General features: G+C 46.1%; 1 protein-coding gene across 1 annotated transcript in view; it reads right to left on the reverse strand.

Moving 5' to 3' along the window:
- Positions 1-651: 651 nt before the first annotated feature.
- DCAF12 (DDB1 and CUL4 associated factor 12) overlaps positions 652-21,937 on the reverse strand; it is a 40,312-nt gene continuing 19,026 nt past the window's right edge. Inside the window, exons 3-9 of the mRNA NM_015397.4 lie at positions 21,624-21,830; positions 20,699-20,759; positions 12,589-12,782; positions 10,981-11,046; positions 7,551-7,713; positions 3,677-3,855; positions 652-2,773 (exon numbers count right to left, since the gene is read on the reverse strand). Of these exons, the coding sequence (NP_056212.1) occupies positions 2,615-2,773; positions 3,677-3,855; positions 7,551-7,713; positions 10,981-11,046; positions 12,589-12,782; positions 20,699-20,759; positions 21,624-21,830 (1,029 nt within the window). The 3' untranslated portion in view covers positions 652-2,614. The remainder of the gene's footprint in view (positions 2,774-3,676; positions 3,856-7,550; positions 7,714-10,980; positions 11,047-12,588; positions 12,783-20,698; positions 20,760-21,623; positions 21,831-21,937) is intronic.

The raw sequence follows: 21,937 nt of genomic DNA on the forward strand, positions 1-21,937 counted from the left end.
AGTCAGTCTCTAAGGCAGGTGCATAGAGCAGCTGTGTCCAGCTTGCCCTGGAAAGAACAAGTACCATGTGGCAGAAGAATAGGGACGGCCTTGCCAGGCTCTGCGGCCTAGCCCTGGTGGGTTTCCCAGAGATGACTGTGTGAGGAAGGGTGGTATGATTTGGCAGTTTCTCTCAGCTACAGCTCCAAATAGGCTCTAGAAGAGCATCACTCACTGTGGTCACTGTGTCTTCCCCTTACAAAGGGCAGTGAAGGTCTATGGTTCCAACTACAAAAAACAAAAATTAATATCCTATTCCCAGAGTACTATGCAAGCACTTTCAGCGTCATTCTCAGGGCACCATCCAAGCAGACAGGGCCTATTACCAACCCTTACTTATGTAACAGAAGTAACGTCACACTACTTCAGTACCCTGGGCATATCCACCCTCAGCTGGACCTCAGAGCAACTCATCTTGGGCTAGAGTTGGGGACCCAGAGCAAGCAGGTCTTAGTATTTGTGCCTGCACTTGACCTGCCTCTAACCTGGAGGTAATGGCTTGTGTTCCCCTTCTGCCACAAGCAATCCCAACAGCTCAAGCCAACCTTCCAACTAGTCATGTGGGGCCTTTTTGGCAGGCTCCTGGCTACACAATACTCACTCACACCATTGTGCACTGGAATAATTTTTATTTTTTTCCTTGGCAAAAAGTCAAGTGCTACATTTTTAAAAACAGAAAATCTCAAACAATCAAACGCATTACCCATTACAGAAGAGGGTCTAGCAATAGTACAAAACATCCTACTGAAGATTTTTTTTTTAAATATACAAGTCAGTTTAAAATGATAGAAGTTCTGTGAGAACTAAGAAATCTACAGCCTGTAGTTTAATAATAGAAAAAAAATTAAGACAATTAAAAGATCTATAGCATCCAGCATTTTGCTTAATTCCCTGTTTATAGCACCTATTTCTCTAGGTTCGAAGATGAGAATTCCAGAACCTGTGGTATGTGCTGTGTAACAAGTTAGGGTGGACTTGCTGTCTCTCCTCTCCAGTAGCCCCCCACCATTAAAAGGAGAATATATATATAATTTTTTTTCCAATTTCCCTTCTTACACCCAGAGAAGAGGGGGACAACTGGGAGAACAAGTTAAAAAACTGGGGTGCAGGAATAAATATGACTTTTCCTTTCCCCAAAATGGGATGTTGACAGAAAAGCAGAGTATGTGCTTAGAGGAACTGGTGGGTGGGAACAGCTGTTATCTTTGACATGATGTGTAAAAATCAGGGAACAAGTGGACATCACAGTCAGCTGCCTGCAAGTTTAAAAACCTCAGACTAAACAGACAGTTCAAGGGAGGAACAGACAAATTACTAATCACATTGATGCTGTCACATGCACAATGATGCTGACTGCAGGCCAGCCTGTCACCATCTCAGGGCTAAGCCAACAGAGTAGGAGGGGTGGCTTCAACCCCAAGTCCCACTGCAGTAAGAAAATGAATATTCCACACATGAAGCACTCACTACACACAGATAAACCCCCTGCTCACCCCCACCTTCTTAGACTTAACCCAATTTAGAAAATAATAGCAAAACCCACTGGGGAGATTGGAAGAATGGCAGAGAGGATTCTCCTCAAAGCCATGGGGGCTATGGATGTGAATCTTAGCAGACTTGAGACTCCCAGCTCCAGGCCCCTTAAAACCAGATCAGGTCTTGAGGGGAAGGAGAGAGAAGCTAGGATGGGGATTCAAGTCCCATGAAGCCTTTTGTAGCCTCTGGAGCTGCACCTGGATGGTGAGTCTGATGTTTTAGGGGTGTGGCTACTGGCTAAGCAGATGTGAGGGTGGGAAGGGGAAGTGACACCAACTTCCCACACGGGGGACACACAGGTGGGAAGACAGGTAGGGCTGGATCACTTTGCAGTCCTGGCATGGGAGGCCCCAGGAAGCCTACAATCTAACTAAAAAGATTTTCCCAGTGGTAATTTCTTTTCCTTTCTGTTTTTACTTCCTATTATCAGTGTTGTTAGACTTAAAAAACAAGATACAGACTAGTCCCAAAGCTGGACTCTGTGAATAAAGTTGTTTCTTTTATAAATATTTTAATTACAAGTAATCCTCACTCCAGGTAATTTCAGTGACACACAGTACCTACAGGCACACAAGATCACACACACACACGCAGACAAGATCTCTCTCTCACACACACACAGACACACACAGCTCCCAAACTTTCACAGAAAGTCTGAGAGCAACCATGTAATTATAAAGGAGCCCTACCTCTCAAGAGTGAAGTAAGGGTGAGCTATGTCATTTCAGCCTGAAGAAGCCAGAGACAGGAGAATGTGTGTCACTTAAAGAAAAATAGGGATTAGCAACAATGTTTGGTTGAAAAGCCAGAAATAATAAAAGATAGTAAAATTTTGATTACCAAAGGGGAAAACAAAAAGCAAAACAACTTTCAGATTTCTGTACAGAGCTTCTTCCTATTAAGTGCCTAAACTATAGGCAAACTTTGGTGTTCCCACTAAAACACAAGAGCCTCACACAATTAGGAAAAAAAAAATCAAAAGAAACAAGGAAACTGAGAATGGAAGTTAGTGTAAATCTCTGCATTTGGGGAGTTGTCATTAACTCCAGAGCCCAGCATAGTTTCCATGGAGCCCTGAAGGGAGGGGACCTCCTGCCACAAAGAGTTTCGTTCCAGACGAGTCGTAGCAGTGGGTGTAAACAGCATTGGGGAAGAAGTCAATGTCTGAAAAGTAATTCCTCCAGGTTTCATCATGATTCTACGGGAAGAGAAAGAGACTACAATTAGCACCTCTAGCCATGGGGCAGGAAAAGGGGGAGGAAGGGACAGGAATGCTTTCTGGTCTCCTTAAGGGAACAGGGTTCTACAGGTACAACCTCATGTCAGGAGATTGGCTGGTTGGTTCTCATGGGAATCAGGGCCTCATTTTTCCAACTAAACGTTAGAGAAGAACGGAGCAGCTGAAGAATTGCTATACAAGGCTCAGTTCTTCTCAGGAGACTTAGAACCAAAGTTCTGTTTTCCCTCCACCTGCTAGGCACAGGAGGAAGAACCAAACACTTGAATAATTCACTGGAGGTGGGGCGCAGTGGTTCATGGCTGTAATCCCAGAATTTTAGGAGGCCAAGGTGAGAGAATCACTTGAGCCCAGGAGTTTGAGACCAGCCTGGGCAACATGGCGAGACCCCATCTCTACTAAAAAAAAATAAATTAGCCGGGCACAGTGCATATGCCTGTGGTCCCAGCTACTTGGGAGGCTGAGGCAGGAGGACTGCTTGAGCCCAGGAGTTCAAGGCTACATACAGTAAGCTATGATCACACCACTACACTCCAGCCTGGGCAACAGAGTGACCCTGTCTCAAAAAAAAAAAAAAAAAAAAAATTCACTGACAGCTGTGGTGGGAGGTCCCTTATCCTTCTTGCTCTATTACACCTTGGGGAAAATCCTAAGTCAACCAGTGTGTTTTACTGGGCCTCAGTTTTCCCACAGGCAACGTGCAGACATAAAAGCAAAATCGGGGGAAGTCTTTTCCTGTTCCAATGAGTGCCTCTTACTAGTGAAAAAGTATGAGTAGATGGTGTGTCAGTGGGGGCTGAGAGATAGAGGAAGATAATTTTTCTGTTACTGTGTAGCAGTCATCTCAGGTAGGGGCTTACGCACCAGCCAGCCTTTGCCAGTGGTTAGTTTCAGATTCTCCCCTGCTAGTCTGGGCTTGGACCCATAACAAGCTGAGAGCCTCTCTTCCAGAAATCTCTGAGCTCGGATGTCATAGAACAGCAGGGAGCCCTGCCCTGTTCCCACAGTGATGATGTGCTCGTAGAAACTCACTGACCGGATTCCTGAAAGACAGAAAAGTAAAAGGCAGTGAGGCGGGAGAGAATATTTGCTGACTGTCTGCTAGCCTGAATTTCTCCAACACTGAGTTTTCAACGTCCACCCTGCTCCCCTCCACCCGCCCCACAAAGTATCAGACAGTGTTTTCCCAATGGCAAGTTAGCTCATGCAAAAGCAAAGAGAATCCTGATGCCATCCTGCCTATCCACACACTGACAGAAACCATCCAAGAAGCCTTGGAAAAGTGTCAGATTCCCGATGATGCTCAAGATGCTTTTGGCCGAAGACCATAAGTGCTGAGAACTTCCTTGCTTCCTCTCAACTCACTCTGGGATCATCTTTCATAACTCTAAGCTTTTCTCCATCATATGTTTCCAACCTACACTGCAACTCAAGGTAATCTGCATATTTATAAATCATTAAGTCATCAACGATTCCTTATATTTCACCTAAAACCACTACTGTGGCAAATGCAAGAAGTCTTTTTTTATTTTTTGAGATGGAGTCTCGCTCTGTCGCCCAGGCTGGAGTGCAATGGCGCGATCTTGGCTCGCTGCAACCTCTGCCTTCCGGGTTCAAGCGATTCTCCTGCCTTAGCCTCCCAAGTAGCTGGGATTACAGGCTCCTGCCATCACACTCAGCTAATTCTTGCATTTTCAGGAGAGACAGGGTTTCACCATGTTGGCCAGGCTGGTCTTGAACTCCTGACCTCAAGTGATCCACCTTGGCCTCCCAAAGTGCTGGGATTATAGGCATGAGCCACTGTGCCCGGCCACAATGCAAGAAGTCTTTATCTAGTATTAGGTGTTTTGAGAGTGGCAAAAAGCCCAGAACTTAAATACCCAAAGATGTTTAAGACAAGTCATGTAATTACTTTAGATCACAAGGAAAACACATCTGCTGTACTTGGGGATCAAATCAGTGCTTGGGATATGAAGATGTCTCTTGGCACATAAGAACTGGATAATATTTGTGGAACCAGTATTTCCTTATTAGGTATGAAAGTTACCCCCATTAAACAGTACCAAAAATCTCTTAAAACTTTTCATTGCATACATTATTAGAGCCAAACCTATTTAGTCTTTTCTCTTTTTTTTTGAGCTCTGTTGCCAAAGCTGGAGTACTGTGGCACAATCTTGGCTCACTGCAACCTCCACCTCCCAGATTCAAGTGATTCTCCTGCCTCAGCCTCCCAAGTAGCTGGAACTACAGGCACCCGCTACCACCCCCAGCTAATTTTGTTTGTATTTTTAGTAGAGACAGGGTTTCACCATGTTGATCAGGCTGGTCTCGAACTCCTGACCTCAGGTGATCCACCTGCCTCAGGCTCCCAAAGTGCTGGGATTACAGGCATCAGCCACCGTGCCCGGCCCTATTTATTCCTTTCTCTACTACTCTCATTATACATTATTCTTTGTTCTAAAATGTAAGCATTTTAACTATAATTAAGAACAAATAGGCCAGGCGTGGTGGCTCAAGCCTGTAATCCCAGTACTTTGGGAGGCCCAAGGTGAGTGGATCACTTGAGGTCAGGAGTTCAAAACCAGTCTGGCCAACATGGTGAAACTCCATCTCTACTAAAAACACAAAAATTAGCTGGGCATGGTGGTACGCGCCTGTAGTCCCAGCTACTCAGGAGGCTAAGGCAGGAGAATCGCTTGAACCTGGGAGGCAGAGGGTGCAGTGAGCTGAGATCACACCACTCCACTCCAGCCTAGGTGACAGAGCAAGACTCATCTCAACAACAACAACAACAAAAAAGAAATAGCTGGGCACAGTGGCTCACGGCTGTAATCCCTGTAATCTTAGCACACACTTTGGGAGGCTGAGGTGGGTGTCCCAAGAGTTTGAGACAACTCTGGGCAACATGATGAGAACCTGTCTCTACAAAAATACAAAAATTAGCTGAATGAGGTGGCGGACGCTTATAGTCCCAGCTACTCGGGAGGCTGAGGTGGGAGGACTGCTTGAGCCTGGCAGGTGGAAAAGCTGCAGTGAACTGAGATTGCACCACTTTCCTCCAGCCTGGCTGATAGAGTGAGGACCCTGTCTTCAAAAAAAAAAAAAAAAAAAAAACCACAAAAAACCCAAAACAAAAGCTACTTTGCAGTATCTGCACAGGAATAAACACTACTTGAAAAAGAGAGGGTGAACTGCAATCCACAGTGTGCCTTTTAGGACTCTCAGGATAACACAGCCATATTTTTGCATGAGAAATGGGATAAAGCGAGAAATGGGATAAAGTGAGATAAAGAAAATACAATTTGTTAAGTTGGATTCTGGTCCCTAGCTGTTCCCCCATCAAGCTGTGTGATGCTGGGCAAGTTATTTAGCTGGCTCTAGGTCTTATATGTAAAACTATGTTTTCTCATCTGCTTCCCACAGGGTTCTTGGTATGATGAAATGGCATGTCAGAAAAAGGTATTTTGAAACCTTCAAAGTACACTAAAATAAGTATTTTTTCCCTCTTCAATAAAGAATGAGGGTGCTCTTACAGAGAATATGTTATAAAAGATTTGAGGTGGAAGCTTAATTTACTCAGTGGTCAGAACTAAACTCAGTATTTTCTTCAGCCTTATTGAGGTTTGTCATACAATATACGACACATAAAGTATACAATTTGAGGTTCTGACATATGTATATATCCATGACATCATAACCACAATCTACATAATGAACATACTCATTACCCTGAGGTTTCCTCATGCCCTTTGTAAACTTCCTCCTTATCCCACCATGCCACATCTTAGCATAAATAGAATTTTAGTTCAGGCAGGACCACAGCAAAAAAATTACCACAGGATAGAAAGTAGGGCTCTCGGCCAGGTGCAGTGGCTCACGCCTGTAATCTCAGCACTTTGGAAGGCCGAGGTGGGTGGATCACAAGGTCAAGAGATCAAGGCCATCCTGGCCAACATGGTGAAACCCCGTCTCTACTAAAAATACAAAAATTAGCTGGGCGTGGTGGTGTGTGCCTGTAGTCCCACCTACTCGCGAGGCTGAGGCAGGAGAATCACTTGAACTCAGAAGGCAGAGGTTGCAGTGAGCTGAGATCACGCCACTACACTCCAGCCTGGCAAAAGAGCGAGACTCTGTCTCAAAAAAAAAAAACAACAACAACAAAAAAAAAGTAGAGCTTTCTAAAAGAACATGGAAACTACTAACTAATATCCTGACTGGTGGCTCCCAACAAAGGCTTCTGTGGCCACACATTTGTCTGTGGTGTTTGAAAGTCTAGTGCCCTTTTGTGTCACTCCCCCCACACCCCTTTTTTTTTGAGACAGAATTTCGCGCTCATTGCCCAGGCTGGAGTGCAATGGTGCGATCTCAGCTCACCGCAACCTCCGCCTCCCAGGTTCAAGCAATTCTCCTGCCTCAGCCTCCTGAGCAGCTGGGATTACAGGCATGCGCCACTGCGCCCGGCTAATTTTGTATTTTTAGTAGAGACGGGGTTTCTCCATATTTATTGGTCAGGCTGATCTCAAACTCCCGACCTCAGGTGATCCACCCGCCTCGGCCTCCCAAAGTGCTGGGATTACAGGCGTAAGCCACCACGCCTAGCCATCGCTCCCCTTTTTGAACACACTTCCAAATGTTCCATACAGAGCACTATACCTGTTTGGAAACCAACAAAGAAACTGAAAGTCAGAACCCATATGCAGTGCAGCTGTAGGCCTGAGGTGCACACAGGGACTCTTACCACTGCCTCGCTCCCTGGAACAGACAGACTTGACGTTGTATGATGGCTGCCGTGGATCCAAGAAGGAGACATGAGCTTGGGAGCCCACTGCATAAACTGACCATTCACTACCATAAGCCAGACACACATTCTCACGGCAATATGGCAGTTTGGTGGAGAGGAGCTGAAAATAGAGGAGAGATATAACCATGGCATCAGCAGAGAGGGTAAGGCAGGGATATTGTTTCTGGACTCCCACCTTGATGGGCTTCCCTCATATAAAAGCCACATAAAATCAAGCCCTGATTACAGAAATAACACTCTGTTCCACCCCTAGGTATACAGGAGAAAGAGGAGGTGAATGTTAATAAACGGTAAGACCTAGATACTGAAGGAGATAGGTTGGGGAAAAGGTAAATCTGGAATAAATAATCAGAAGTAGCTGGAAAGGCCAAGGCCTTTCTTGGTAGGCTGTTTCAACTATTCAGGTTGTTTCTGGGAATCGTTCCAGGGCACTAAAGCCATAGTCCCACTCTGTTCTGTCTGCCAGGAAGGGCCACCTCAGTGCTTTTCAGATAAAGAGGCTGATCTCTGGCTACCCCCAGCTCACCTTCCCACCTGAATGGGAATTGTACGCTATAGAAAGCACGCCCATGGGACTAGCTTAATCCCAGATAACCCACATCAGCCTTAACCCTGGGTCTTCGTCAGTTAGCAAATCCTCAGTGGGTGCATACAACACATAAGACAGCATACAAGGTCAGTGGAGCTCAAAGGCTATTGTGACATGAAGGAATCACTAATTCCTGGAACCCTGCTTCCTCTTGCAAAGTCCTCAAGGATAAGAAGAAGAGAAAAAGCTGGGCGTGGTGGCTAACGTCTGTAATCCCAGCACTTTGGGAGGCTAAGGCAGGCAGATCACCTGAGGTCAGGAGTTTGAGACCAGGCTGGCCAACCTGGTGAGATGCCATCTCTACTAAAAATACCAAAAATTAGCTAGGGGTAGTGGTGCATGCCTGTAATCCCAGCTACTCAGGAGGCTGAGGAAGGAGAATCACTTGAACCTGGGAGGCGGAGGTTGCAGTGAGCTGAGATCGTGCCACTGCATTCTAGCCTGGGCAACAAAGTGAGACTCTGTCTCAAAAAAAATAAAAAAAAGACAAATGATTCACAGGTAGGTTTAACTCTATGTAAAAGTTGCTTGTTGAATCTCCCTTATCCAAAAGGCTTGTGACTACAAATGTTTTGAATTTCGGATTTCTCCAGCTTTTTTTTTTTTTTTTTGAGACGGAGTCTCGCACTGTCGCCCAGGCTGGAGTACAGTGGCGCGATCTCAGCTCACTGCAAGCTCCACCTCCTGGGTTCACACCATTCTCCTGCCTCAGCTTCCCGGGTAGCTGGGACTACAAGCGCCCACCACCACGCCCGGCTAATTTTTTGTATTTTTAGTAGAGACGGGGTTTCACCATGTTAGCCAGGATGGTCTCAATCTCCTGACCTTGCGATCCGCCCACCTTGGCCTCCCAAAGTGCTGGGATTATAGGCGTGAGCCACCGCACCCGGCCCCGATTTTTAAATATCTACATATATGTAAGGAGCTATCTTGGGGATGGCACCCAAGTCTAACCACAAAATTCATTTATGTTTCATATACATCTTATACACATAGAGTGAAGGTAATTTTATGCAATATTTTAAATAATTTTCTGCATTAAACAATGTTTGGTACACTGACCTGTCAGAAAGCAAAGGTGTCCCATGTGAAATTTTCCATTTGTGGCATTGTGTTGGTGCTCAAAAAGTTTTGGACTTTGGAGGCTTTTTTTTTTGAGAGAGAGTCTTGCTCTGTTGCCAGGCTGGAGTGCAGTGGCATGATCTCGGCTCACTGCAACCTCTGCCTCCTGGGTTCAAGCGATTCTCCTGCCTCAGCCTCCCAAGTATCTGGGACTACAGACGCCCACCACCACGCCCAGCTAATTTTTGTATTTTTAGTAGAGACGGGGTTTCGCCATGTTGGCCAGCATGGTCTCAATCTCTTGACCTCATGATCCACCTGCCTCGGCCTCCCAAAGTGCTGGGATTATAGGCGTGAACCACCGCGCCAGGCCTTTTTTTTTTTTTTTTTTTTTTTTTTGAGATAGGGTCTCGCTCTGTCACCCAGGCTGGAGTGCAGTGGCAAAATTACGGCTCACTGCAGCCTTGACCTCCTCAGCTCAAGTGGTCCTCCTGCCTCAGCACTGCTACCCTCCAGTAGCTGGGACTACAGGCATATGCCACAATGTATGGCTAATTTTTAAATTTTGTTGCAGAGATAGGGTCTTACTGTGTTGCCCAGGCTAGTTTTGAACTCCTGGGCTCAAGCAATCCTCCTGCTTCAACCTCCCAAAGTGTTGGGATTACAGGCCTAAGGTATTGTGCCCAACTGGATTTTGGAGCATTCTGGATTAGGGATGACCAATTTGTATTGTAAATTAAGTCTATTTTCTCATTACCTTACATGATTATTTCAGAGATGGTTTATCTTAATTTGATCGATCTTCAATTGCCAAAGGTTCCTAACACTCAGGATTTCCTTCCCTTACAGCATGCCAAGTAGTCATCAATCTATAAAGAAATACTTAAATGCATTGTTGAGGAGGACTGCTAGTCAAAGGAGCCTCTCAGGAAGCTTATGCAATAGGAAAGAATCACCCTGTCTTACTCTTTAAAAGACTTTCCTGCAAGAGAGGCACACCAGACTCAAAATTTCATGTACTGTGCAAAAACATGCCCAGGCCTTTGGAGAACTGGTCTTTTAAACAAGAATTGAGACCAGGTGCAATGGTTCATGCCTGAATGCCCAGCACTTCGGGAGACCAAGGTGGGAGGATCGCTTGAGGTCAGGAGTTCAAAACCAGCCTGGGAAACATAGTGAGACTCTGTCTCTACAAAAAATTAAAAAAACAAAACAAAACAAAAAAAACAACCAGATGGGTGTGGTGACACATGCCCATAGTCTCAGCTACTTGGGAGGCTGAGGCAAGAGGATCGCTTATGCCCAGGAGTTCAAGGCTGCACTGATCCATGAGCCATGACTGCACTCCAACTTGGGTGACAGAGTGAGACCCTGTATTTATTGTCTTTAAAAATAAAAATACCAACCTGGCCAACATGGTGAGACTGTGTTCCTACTAAAAATACAAAAAAAATACCTGGGCATGTTGGCAGACGCCTGTAATCCCCGCAGCTACTCAGGTGGCTGAGGCACAAGAACTGGTTGAACCCAGGAGGCAGAGGTTGCAGTGAGCCAAGATTGCACCACTGCACTCCAGCCTGGGCATCAGAGCGAGACTCTGCCTCAAAAATAAATGAATAGATAAAATAAACATGAAAAAAAAGCTCAGCTAGAATTACAGTATTTTAACTGTAAGGTGAATTATTAGGTAAAACCACAAAATCATGTTCATCACACCTTAGATAGTGTATTTTCAGCCTTCCAGAGATGAAAGTAGCCATCCAGAGACACTGCTCCCAGTTCCTACAAGAGCAATGAAAACCAGGTTATATTATCATCTATAGCAACTAATGTACGATAATAAGCAGGCGAGGATTCTAAGGTCAGGGTCCTTTATTCCTGTCTCGTGATGATTCCAGCAGAGGTGCCAGTAATTATTAGACCATTACTTCACCCTACAGAACCTAGCTGAATGGCATATTAAATTGAGGCTGCCAGCAATAACACAGGCACCCATGGTTGAAAAACTCCTCACTATGCTATCACTCCCTCAACGTCCTGTTGGAGAGTTAAAGCAGGGCACATATGTGAAGGACAGTTTCATAATCTAGTGTGAGAATTTCTATAAGTGAAGACTCTAATTTAGGAGAGATTAATCTACCCTTAGGCCATAAATACAGATGGGATAGGAGGTTGAGGGAACTACCCTTCAAACTGTGGCCTGATTCAGATTCTGGAGAAGCCTTTCTCTGGCTCTGGGTGTATATTCTGACACTGCTTTTTTTTTTTTTTTTTTTTTTTGAGATGGAGTCTTGCTCTGTCACCCAGGCTGGAGTGCTGTGGCGCAATTTCGGCTCACTGCCAACCTCCACCTCCTATAGTTTTCCTGCCTCAGCCTCCTGAGTAGCTGGGAATACAGGCATATGCCACCATGCCTGGCTAATTTTTTTGTATTTTCAGTAAACATGGGGTTTTACCATGTTGGCCCAGGCTAGTCTCAAACTCCTGACCTTGTGATCTGCCTGCCTCGGCCTCCGAAAGTGCAGGGATTACAGGCGTGAGTCACTGCGCCTGGGTGACACTCTGCTTTATTAAAACCTCAGCATCAGATCTGACTCAATAAGGTAAGACTTAGTGGAAATGTGAAGGGAAAGTAGGCAGTAAAGAATACTGGCCAGGCATGGTGGCTCACGCCTGTAATCCCAGAACTTTGGGAGGCCAAGGAGAGTGGATCAACTGAGGTCAGGAGTTCAAGACCAGCCTGGCCAACATGGTGAAACCCCGTCTCTACTAAAAAATACAAAATTAGCCATGTGTAGCGGTGCATGCCTGTAGTCCCAGCTACTTGAGAATCTGAGGCAGAAGAATTGCTTGAACCTGGAAGGTGGAGGTTGCTTTGAGCTGAGATCGTGCCATTGCACTCCTGCCTAGGTGACAGGAGCAAAACACAGTCTCAAAAAGAAAAAAAAAAAAAAAGGAATGAATACCAAAGAGAAAAAAAGTGATTGTTTTCAGAAGCAAGTATGAAAATCATGCCCAGAATACAGCACCTGCAAAGGCATGTGCAAATGACAGACAGTCAAATCAGGGTGGCCCTAGGGGAATTCTGTGAGGCTGACCCACAAATATAGACTACTCAGAGAAATACTGCAGACACCAATTGAAGGGGTGGGTTTCAGAGCCTCAGTTATAATTTCTCACCAGCATCACTCAGCCTTTAAGAGGTGTTCTGTGGGCTCAGAACCATGCTATGTAGCAAGCACTGATGGGGAAGGAAAAAGGAGTGCATATCCCAAGACATAAGCAAGAGGAATACACGTCAGGGATCCCTACACAAGTTCATACCTTGTTCTTGTTGTTGAAGGCCAGAGCCCGAACCTTGCAGTTGTCAGGGTTTGTGTCTTCTTTGGGGATGTCCTTTAAGGCCTTGTGAGTGATGTGTGCATACACAGGGACCCGTGACACATTGTGTCTCGCATCACTTTTGGTCAAAACATCATCTGTCACCTCCCAGAGTCCCATAGAACCATCACGTGAGCCTGCAGGGCCAGGAGAACACAGATGTCAGATGTACCCACCCCTCTATGGGAAATCCCACAGACGCCAAAGAGGGCTTTCATAGTCTAGCTGTTTGTGCATCATCCTCATATGTGCTGAAGCTTGGCCAGATGGCCCACCCTAAACACAGAGCAGTAGGCATTTTAATAGCTACACTAAGAGAATTATTCACCTAAGGTCTAGGCATTAAAATATAACTTTTAAGTTTGACATGGTTGTTGAAATTTATTTATTATTATTATTTTTTTTTGAGACAGAGTCTCGCTTTGTCACCCAGGCTGGAGTGCAGTGGTGCGATCTCAGCTCACTGCAACCTCCATCTCCTGGGTTCAAGCGATTCCCGTGCCTCACCCTCCCAAGTAGCTGGGATTACAGGTGCCTGCTCCATGCCTGGCTATTTTTTTTGTATTTTTAGTAGAGACGGGGTTTTACCATGTTGCCCAAGCTGGTCTTGAACTCCTGAGTTCCAGCGATCAGCCTGCCTTGGCCTCCCAAAGTGCTAGGATTACAGGTGTGAGCCACCACACCTGGTCTGCTTTTTTTTTTTTTGAGACAGAGTCTCGCTCTATCACCCAGGCTGGAGTGCAGTGGCACGATCTTGGCTCACTGCAACCTCGGCCTCCTGGGTTCTAGCGATTCTCCTGCCTCAGCCTCCCAAGTAGCTGAGATCACAGGCGCATGCTACCATGCCCTGCTAATTCTTTTTATTTTTATTTTTGAGATGGAGTCTTGCTGTGATGCCTAGGCTGGAGTGCAATGGCGCAATCTTGGCTCACTGCAACCTCCGCCTCCCAGGTTCAAGCGATTCTCCTGCCCCAGCCTGTAGCTGGGACTACAGGCGCGTGCCACCACGCCCAGTTAATTTTTGTATTTTTAGTAGAGATTGGGTTTCACCATATTGGCCAGGCTGGCCTCGAACTCCTGACCTCAAGTGATCCACCTGCCTCAGCCTCTCAACGTTCTGGGATTACAGGCATGAGCCACCGCGCCTTACTCGAAATTCTTTAACGAGAATTTTATACATTTTGATAAAGCTAATTTTCTTTTTTATTTTTCTTTTTTTTCCCTTTTTTTGGAGATGAAGTCTCTCTGTGTTACCCAGGCTGGAGTGCAATGGCATGATCTCGGCTCACTGCAACCACCACCTCCCGGGTTCAAGCGATTCTCCTGCCTCAGCCTCCCGAGCAGTTGGGACTACAGGCACACGTCACCATGCCCGGCTAATTTTTGTATTTTTAGTAGAGACGGCGTTTCACCATGTTGGCCAGGCTGGTGTCGAACTCCTGACCTCATGATCCACCCGCCTCAACCTCCCAAAGTGCTGGGATTACAGGCATAAGCCAGTGCACCTGGCCAAAGCTTAGTAATTTTCTATGCCAAATGTTTAGGTCTCTTGGCATGCATCCACAGCTGACTTTTAGTGGGCAGTAGGGCTTGGGAATCCTCCCCTCTAGAGCAGTGGTACTTAACCTTTTTTGAGCCTTGGACCCCCTTATGTCTCTCTTTTTTTAGAGACAGGGTCTCACTTTGGGGCCCAGGGTAGACAGGGCAATAGTGGCACAATCATAGCTCACTGCAGGCTCAACTTCCTGGGCCTAAGTGATCCTCCTGCCTCAGCCTCCTGAGTAGCTAATACAACAGGTATGCACCCCCATGACTGGCTTTTTTTTTTTTTTTTTTGAGATGGAGTCTCACACTGTCGCCCAGGCTGGAGTGCAGTGGTGCGATCTTGGCTCACTGCAAGCTCCGCCTCCTGGGTTCACGCCATTCTCCTGCCTCAGCCTCCTGAGTAGCTGGGACTACAGAGGCCCGTCACCACGCCTGGCTAATTTTTTGTATTTTTAGTAGAGACGGGGTTTCACTGTGTTAGCCAGGATGGTCTTGATCTCCTGACCTCGTGATCCACCTGCCTCGGCCTCCCAAAGTGCTGGGATTACAGGAGTGAGACACCACGCCCAGCTTCTTTTTTTTTTTTTAATACAAGGCCTCACTCTGTTGCCCAGGCTGGAGTGGAGTGGTGCAATCTCAGCTCATCCCAACCTCCACCTCCTGAGCACAAGTGATCCTCTCACCTCAGCCTCCTGAGTAGCTGTGACTACAGGCACACCCTACCACACCTGGCTAATTTTTGCATTTTTTTTTTTTTATAGACAGGGTTTTGTCATATTGCCCAGCATTGTCTTAAACACCTGGGCTCAAGTGATCCAGCTGCCTCATCCTGTCAAAGTGCTGGGATTACAGGTATGAGCCACCAAGCCTAGCCTTATTTTTTTAATTTTTTTTGTAGAGATGGAGTCTCGATTTGTTGCCAAGGCTAGTCTTGAACCCCTGGCCTCAAGTGATCCTCATACCTCAGCCTCTCAAAGTGCTAGGATTAAAGGCATGAGCCACCATACCCAGACTAGGCCTCTTTTTCTAGAAAATTACACAAAACACCACATTTTACATTCAATTTCAGGGAGACCCATGGATTTCCTGAAATCCATGGGCTTTCCATGAACCCACAGGGACCACAAACCCTCCCCAACTTTTTTTTTTTTTTTTTTTTTAAATGAGACAGGTTCTGGCTCTGTCACCCAAGCTGGAGTGCAATAACATGATTATGGCTCATTGTAGCCTCAACCTCCTGGGCTTCAGCAATTCTCCTGCCCCAGCCTCCCAAGTAGCTGGGTCTACAGGCATGTATCCTCATGCCCAGGTAATTTTTTATTTTCATTTTTTTGTAGAAATGGGGTCTCACTATGTTACCCAGGCTGGTCTTGGACTCCTGACCTCAAACTCCTGCTTCAGTCTCTCGAAATACTGGGACTACAAGTGTAAGCCACTGTGCCCGGCCATAATTCCTTTATTATTTATTTATTTATTTTGGTGGTGGGACAGAGTTTCACTCTTATTGCCCAGGCTAGAATGCAATGGCACGATCTTGGCTCACCGCAACCTCTGCTTACTGGGTTCAAGTGATTCTCCTACCTCAGCCTTCCGAGTAGCTGGGATTACAGGCATGTGCCACCATGCCCGGCTAATTTTGTATTTTTAGTAGAGACGGGGTTTCTCTATGTTGTTCAGGCTGGTCTTGAACTCCTGACCTCAGGTGATCCACCCTCCTCAGCCTCCCAAAGTGCAAGGATTACAGGCATGAGCCACTGTGCCCGGCCCACAATCCTTCTATTAAGAATGACTGTTCTAGACCGTTCTTTATTAAGAATTACTGCTCACACCTGTAATCCCAGCAACTTGGGAGGCTGAGGTAGGTGGACCGCCTGAGCTCAAGAGTTTGAGACCAGCCTGAGCAACATGGCGAAACCCCATCTCTACCAAAAATACAAAAAATTAGCCAGGCGTGGTGGGGCACGCCTGTGGTCCCAGCTACTCAGGAGGCTGAGCTGGGAGGATAGCTTGAGCCTGGGAAGTAGAAGTTGCAGTGAGCTGAAATTGTGCCACAGACTCCAACCTGGGTGACAGAGTGAGACCCTGTCGCAAAAAAAAAAAAAAGATAATAATGACGACTATTCTAGGCTGGGTACAGTGGTATATGCCTTTAATCCCAGCACTCTGGGAGACCGGGTAACATGGCAAAACCCTGTCTCTACAAAAAATACAAAATTAGCCAGGCATGGTGGCGCAAACCTGTGGTACCAGCTACCCGGGAGGCTGAGGTGGGAGGGTCACTGGAGCCTGGAGAGGTCAAGGGTGCAGTGAGCTGGGATCACACCAACAGTCTGGGCAACAGAGTAAGACCCTGCCTCCAAAAAAAAAAAGAATAATGACTGTTTTATATAAAATGAATGCTTAAAAAGATAAATCAGTTTTCTTAGCAAACAATAATAAAGCACTTAAAAACCCAGGCCGGGCACGGTGGCTCACGCCTGTAACCCCAGAACTTTGGGAGGCTGAGGCAGGCAGATAACGAGGTCAGGAGTTTGAGACCGACCTGACCAACATGGTGAAACCCTGTCTCTACTAAAAATACAAAAATTAGTAGGGCGTGTGCCTGTAATCCCAGATACTTAGGAGGCTGAGGCAGGAGAATTGCTTGAACCCAGGAGACGGAGGTTGCAGTGAGCCGAGATCACACCACTGCACTCCAGCCTGGATGACAGAGACTCCATCTCAAAACAAACACACAAACAAACAACAACAAAAAACAAGAACACTTTTCTGTGAATTGAGCCCTGAATATACTGTTGGTGGCAAGCTAAAATGGTATCTTTCTAGAGGACAACTGAGCAACCTGCAGCAAGGAAATGTTATATTCCTGGCTGGGCGCAGTGGCTCACGACTGTAATCGCAACACTTTGGGAGGCTTAGGCAGGCAGGTCGCTTGAGGCCAGGACGTTGAGACCAGCCTGGGCAAAATGTTGAAACACCATCAGTACAAAAAAATACAAAAAACTAGCCAGGCATGGTGGCACATGCCTGTAGTCCCAGCTACTCAGGGACAGGGGTGGGGTGCTGAGACAGGAGGATTGTTTGAGACTGGGAGGTCAAGGCTGCAGTGAGCCATGATCACATCACGCCACTGCATTCCATCCTGGGTGACAGGGCGAGACCTTAACTCCAAAAAAAAAAAAAAAAAAAAAAAAGAGAAACAACAGCTGGGCGCAGTGGCTCATGCCTGTAATCCCGGCACTTTAGGAGGCCGAGGCAGGTGGATCACGAGGTCAGGAGTTCAAGACCAACCTGGCCAACATGTTGTAAGCCATCTCTACTAAAAAGACAAACCAGCCCGGCGTGGTGGCACGCGCCTGTAGTCCCAGCTACTCAGAAGGCTGAGGCAGGAGAATCGCTTGAACCTGGGAGGCGGAGGTTGCAGTGAGCTAAGACATGGCCACTGCACTCCAGCTGGGCGACAGAGGAGGACTCCATCTCAAAAAAAAAAAAGAAACAAAAATAAAAAGTAAGTTTATATTCCCATTCAGAAACAATCCACTATCACAATACCCATACACAAAGTTGTTTATTCGGAACACTCAGTATGTTCAACAATAGGGTTATATTATATCCATAAAACAGAGTATCAAGAAATTATGTTTTAGGCCGGGCATAGTGGCTCATGCCTGTAATCCCAGCACTTCGAGAGGCTCAAGTGGGAGGATCGCTTGAGCCTAGGAGTTTGACAGCAGCCTGGGCAACAAAGCGAGACCCAGTCTCTATAAAAAATAGAAATAATTAACCGGGTGTGGTGGTGTGTGCCTGTAGTCCCAGCTACTTGAGGGGATCTCTTAATCCTGGGAGTTCGAGGTTGCAGTGAGCAATAATCACACGCTGCACTCCAGCCTACATAACAGAGTGAGACCCTGTCTCAACAACAACAACAGTAACAACAACAACGAAAATGTGTTTTAAAATTCTTTTTCCAGTAAACTTATTTGCCAGTTCTCCTTTGAGACCAAGAAGGTGCCCTTCCCACACTGCTAATCTCCTGAACACTTCATAGAAAAAAACATCTAGGCCAGGCGCAGTGGCTCACGCCTGAAATTCCAGCACTTTGGGAGGCCGATGCAGGCAGATCACTTGAAGTCAGGAGTTTGAGACCAGCCTGGCCAACATGGTGAAACCCTGTCTCTACCAAAAATACAAAAATTAGGCACAGTGGCACGCACCTGTAGTCCCAGCTACTTGGGAGGCCGAGGCAAGAGAAGTGTTTGAACCTGGGAGGCTGAGGTTGCAGTGAGCCAAGATGCACTCCAGCCTGGGCGACAGAGCGAGACTCTGTCTCAAAAATTAAAAAAAAAGAAAAAAACATCTAAAATGACAGACACATCAATTCAAAGTAGAATGTTAATTATGTGAAATTAGAAAAGGCCACAGAGACAAGGGCACATCTGGAGAACTAGACATGGTTTGTTAATGCTGGATTATGGGGTGCAAGCATGGAAGCTATGAGAGAGAAAGTTGGAAAGATAGGTGTGGGCCTTGTATGCTGTGCTATAAAATTTGTTTCTCATCTTACAGATACTAGAAAGTCTCTCAAAGATTTGAGCATCAGAGTGAGAAAATTAGATAACTGTGTTTCAGAAGATTACTTTGTGTACAGTGTGACCTCATTTACCCCATCAAAGTTTTATTATGAAAATTTTAAAGTGTAAAAAAATGAGGCCAGGTGCAGTGGCTCATGCCTGTAATCCCAGCATTTTAGGAGGCCGAGGCAGGTGGATCAACTGAGGTCCTGCATTCAAGACCAGCCTGGCCAACATGGCAAAACCCCATCTCTACTAAAAAATACAAAAATTAGCCAGGCGTGGTGGTGGGCACCTGTAATCCCAGCTACTCAGGAGGCTGAGGCAGGGAGAAGTGCTTGAACCCAGGAGGCGGAGGTTGCAGTGAGCCAAGATTGCACCATTGCACTTTAGCCTGGGCAACACAGCAAGACTCCGTCTCCAAAAAAAAAAAAGAAAGAATTTCACAAAGAATTCTATATATGCATCTTCTAAATGATCTCATATTAACCAACTAAAAAATATGGGCCAATTTTGGGAGGCCGAGGCAGGCGAATCACTGAGGTCAGGAGTTTGAGACCAGCCTGGCCAATATGGTGAAACCCCATCTCTACCAAAAATAGAAAAATTAGCCTGGCGTGGTGGTGGGCACCTGTAATCCCAGCTACTCAGGAGGCTGAAGCAGGGGAATCGCTCGAACCTGGGAAGCGGAGGTTGTGGTGAGCCGAGGTCGTGCTACTGCACTCCAGCCTGGAAGACAGAGTGAGACTCTGTCTCAAAAAAAAAAAAAAATCATACTAAGGCTGGGTGCAGTGGCTCATGCCTGTATAATCTAAACACTTTGGGAGGCTGAGGCAGGAGGATAGCTTGAGCCCAGGAGTTCAAGGCTGCAGTGAGCCATGATGGTGCCACTGCACTCCAGCCTGGGTGACAGAGCAAGACCCTGTGTCTAAAGGAAAAGAAAAAAGGTACTAAAAAAAGACTAGCAAGTTATATTTTAAAATGTCAACAGTCGTTATTACTAGCTGGGTGTGAAGGTGTGTGCCTATAGTCCCAGCTACCTGGGAGCCTGAGGCAGAAGGATCACTTGAGCCCAAGAGCTCAAGGATGCAGTGAGCTAGGATCATGCCACTGCACTCAAGCCTGGGTGACAAAATGAGACACTGTCTCAAAAAGAAAACGAAACAACCCACAAAAAAAAGTGGTTATCTCTGGATAGAGATCTTGTGGGTGGTCCTTACTTCCTTTTTTATCTATCTATCTTATCTATCTATCCATCCTTTTTTTTTTTTTGAGATGGAGTCTCACACTTGCTCAGGCTGGAGTGCAGTGGCGCGATCTCAGCTCACTGCAACCTCTGCCTGCCGGGTTCAAGCAATTCTCCTGCCTCAGTCTCCTGAGCAGCTGGGACTACAAGCGCCCACGACCACACTCAGCTAATTTTTTGTACTTTTAGTAGAGACAGGGTTTCACCATGCTGGCCAGCCTGGTCTCGAACTCCTGACCTCATAATCCACCCACCTCGGCCTCCCAAAGTGCTGGGATTACAGGTGTGAGCCACCACACCCGGCCTATATTTTAAAATTTTCTTACAATAAATGTGTATCACTTTTACACTAAATAAGAAATTATTATTCTACAGGGTCACCCTCTGTCATGTAGGCTGGAGTGCAGTGGCACGATCACAGCTTGATGCAGCCTGGTTCTCCTGGGCTCAAGCAATCCTCCTGCCTCAACCTTCTGAGTATCTGGGACAACAAGTATGCAGTACCACACTCAACTAATTTAAATTCTTGGGCTCAAGTGATCCACCCACCTCAGCCTCCCAAAGTGCTGGGATTATAGGCGTGAGTCACTGAGCCCGGCTGGGCTGTTTCCTATCACACTACTATCCCTTTTCAATCTCTAGCCCCCAATCCCTGCCACATCAAAAGCTCCCTATAAAAGGGCAACTTTACCAGACACTGCCATAGTGTCGCTGATCCATGCGATGGAAAAGATCCAGTCCTTGTGTCCATCCTTGGAGAGCAGGGAGTAACAGGTACAGGGAGGAAAATAAGAAATTAGTAAAATAAGGATTGTAATAAACTCTCTAAAGAAGCATACAAGTCAGACTGAAAATATTTTTGTAGAAATTACAACTCTGATCTCTGGTGGTCTCAACCCACAGAGAATGATCAATCTTTACCTTCTATCTTGAGGAGCTCAAAGCTGGAATGAAATTGGCACTACTGTGGGTAGTGGACACATAGCTCTTGCCTTCTACCTCTGGGTCCCATCTTCCATCTGGAACTCTCTTCCTCCAGACATCTAGACATCTACATGGCTTGTACCCTCATTTCCTTTAAGTCTCCCTGCTCAAGCGTCATCCTATCAATGAAACTTTATCTTCTGATACAGCATCCTCCACCTTACTCTCAGTCCCTTTATGCTGCCTTTATTCTTCTCCATGGCACTTATCACACTCTGATGTATTACTGGTAAATATTAGTTTATATGGTTTATGTTTTGTCTATATGTCACCCTCCACTAGAATGTAGGCTTCAAGAGGACAGGGGCTTTATCTGTTCTGTTCACTGCTATGTCTCAAACAACGCCTAGCCATAGAAGACTCAATAAATGCCTGATGAATGAATGGATGATTTAGTAAACTGCTACTCTCTGACTATGGGCAGTGGGAAGTATGTGGACACTATGGATTCAAACAGCAACCCAATACTGTTGGCCCCTGAGGTGTGCTGCTTGCCCCTTTATCAAATATACACTGTGCCCTATGGGGAGTCCAGTCCCCACTCTGGGCTGATGAGAGGAGGGTCCATGTTAATCACTGAGACCCGTTTAAAAACAAGGCTCCCTCCAACTACAACTACTGGGAAAACTTACATCTCCTACACACACAGGATCCAGCGTAGGTAGTCGATAGATGGCAAGACTGTTGGGGTTGTCTCCTCCAGTGGCTAGCAGTGTTCTAGAAGGATTCAGCTCGATGGCATGGATACCACAGCCCTGCTGGGTCACACCTCCAGGCTCCCGGTCTTTCAGAATGGGGATCTTGGTGATCTGGCTTGTCTGGACATCTACGACAAATAGCTACAAGAAAAAATGGATACAGAAGCTGAACATAAATTTAACGTGGCCAATACAGGGTATAAACATCCTTTTGTTCAACTGTTCATCAACATTTAATTAACAACTAC

The sequence above is a fragment of the Homo sapiens genome, chromosome 9 (genome assembly GCF_000001405.40).
Source record: "Homo sapiens chromosome 9, GRCh38.p14 Primary Assembly".
NCBI lineage: Eukaryota > Metazoa > Chordata > Mammalia > Primates > Hominidae > Homo > Homo sapiens.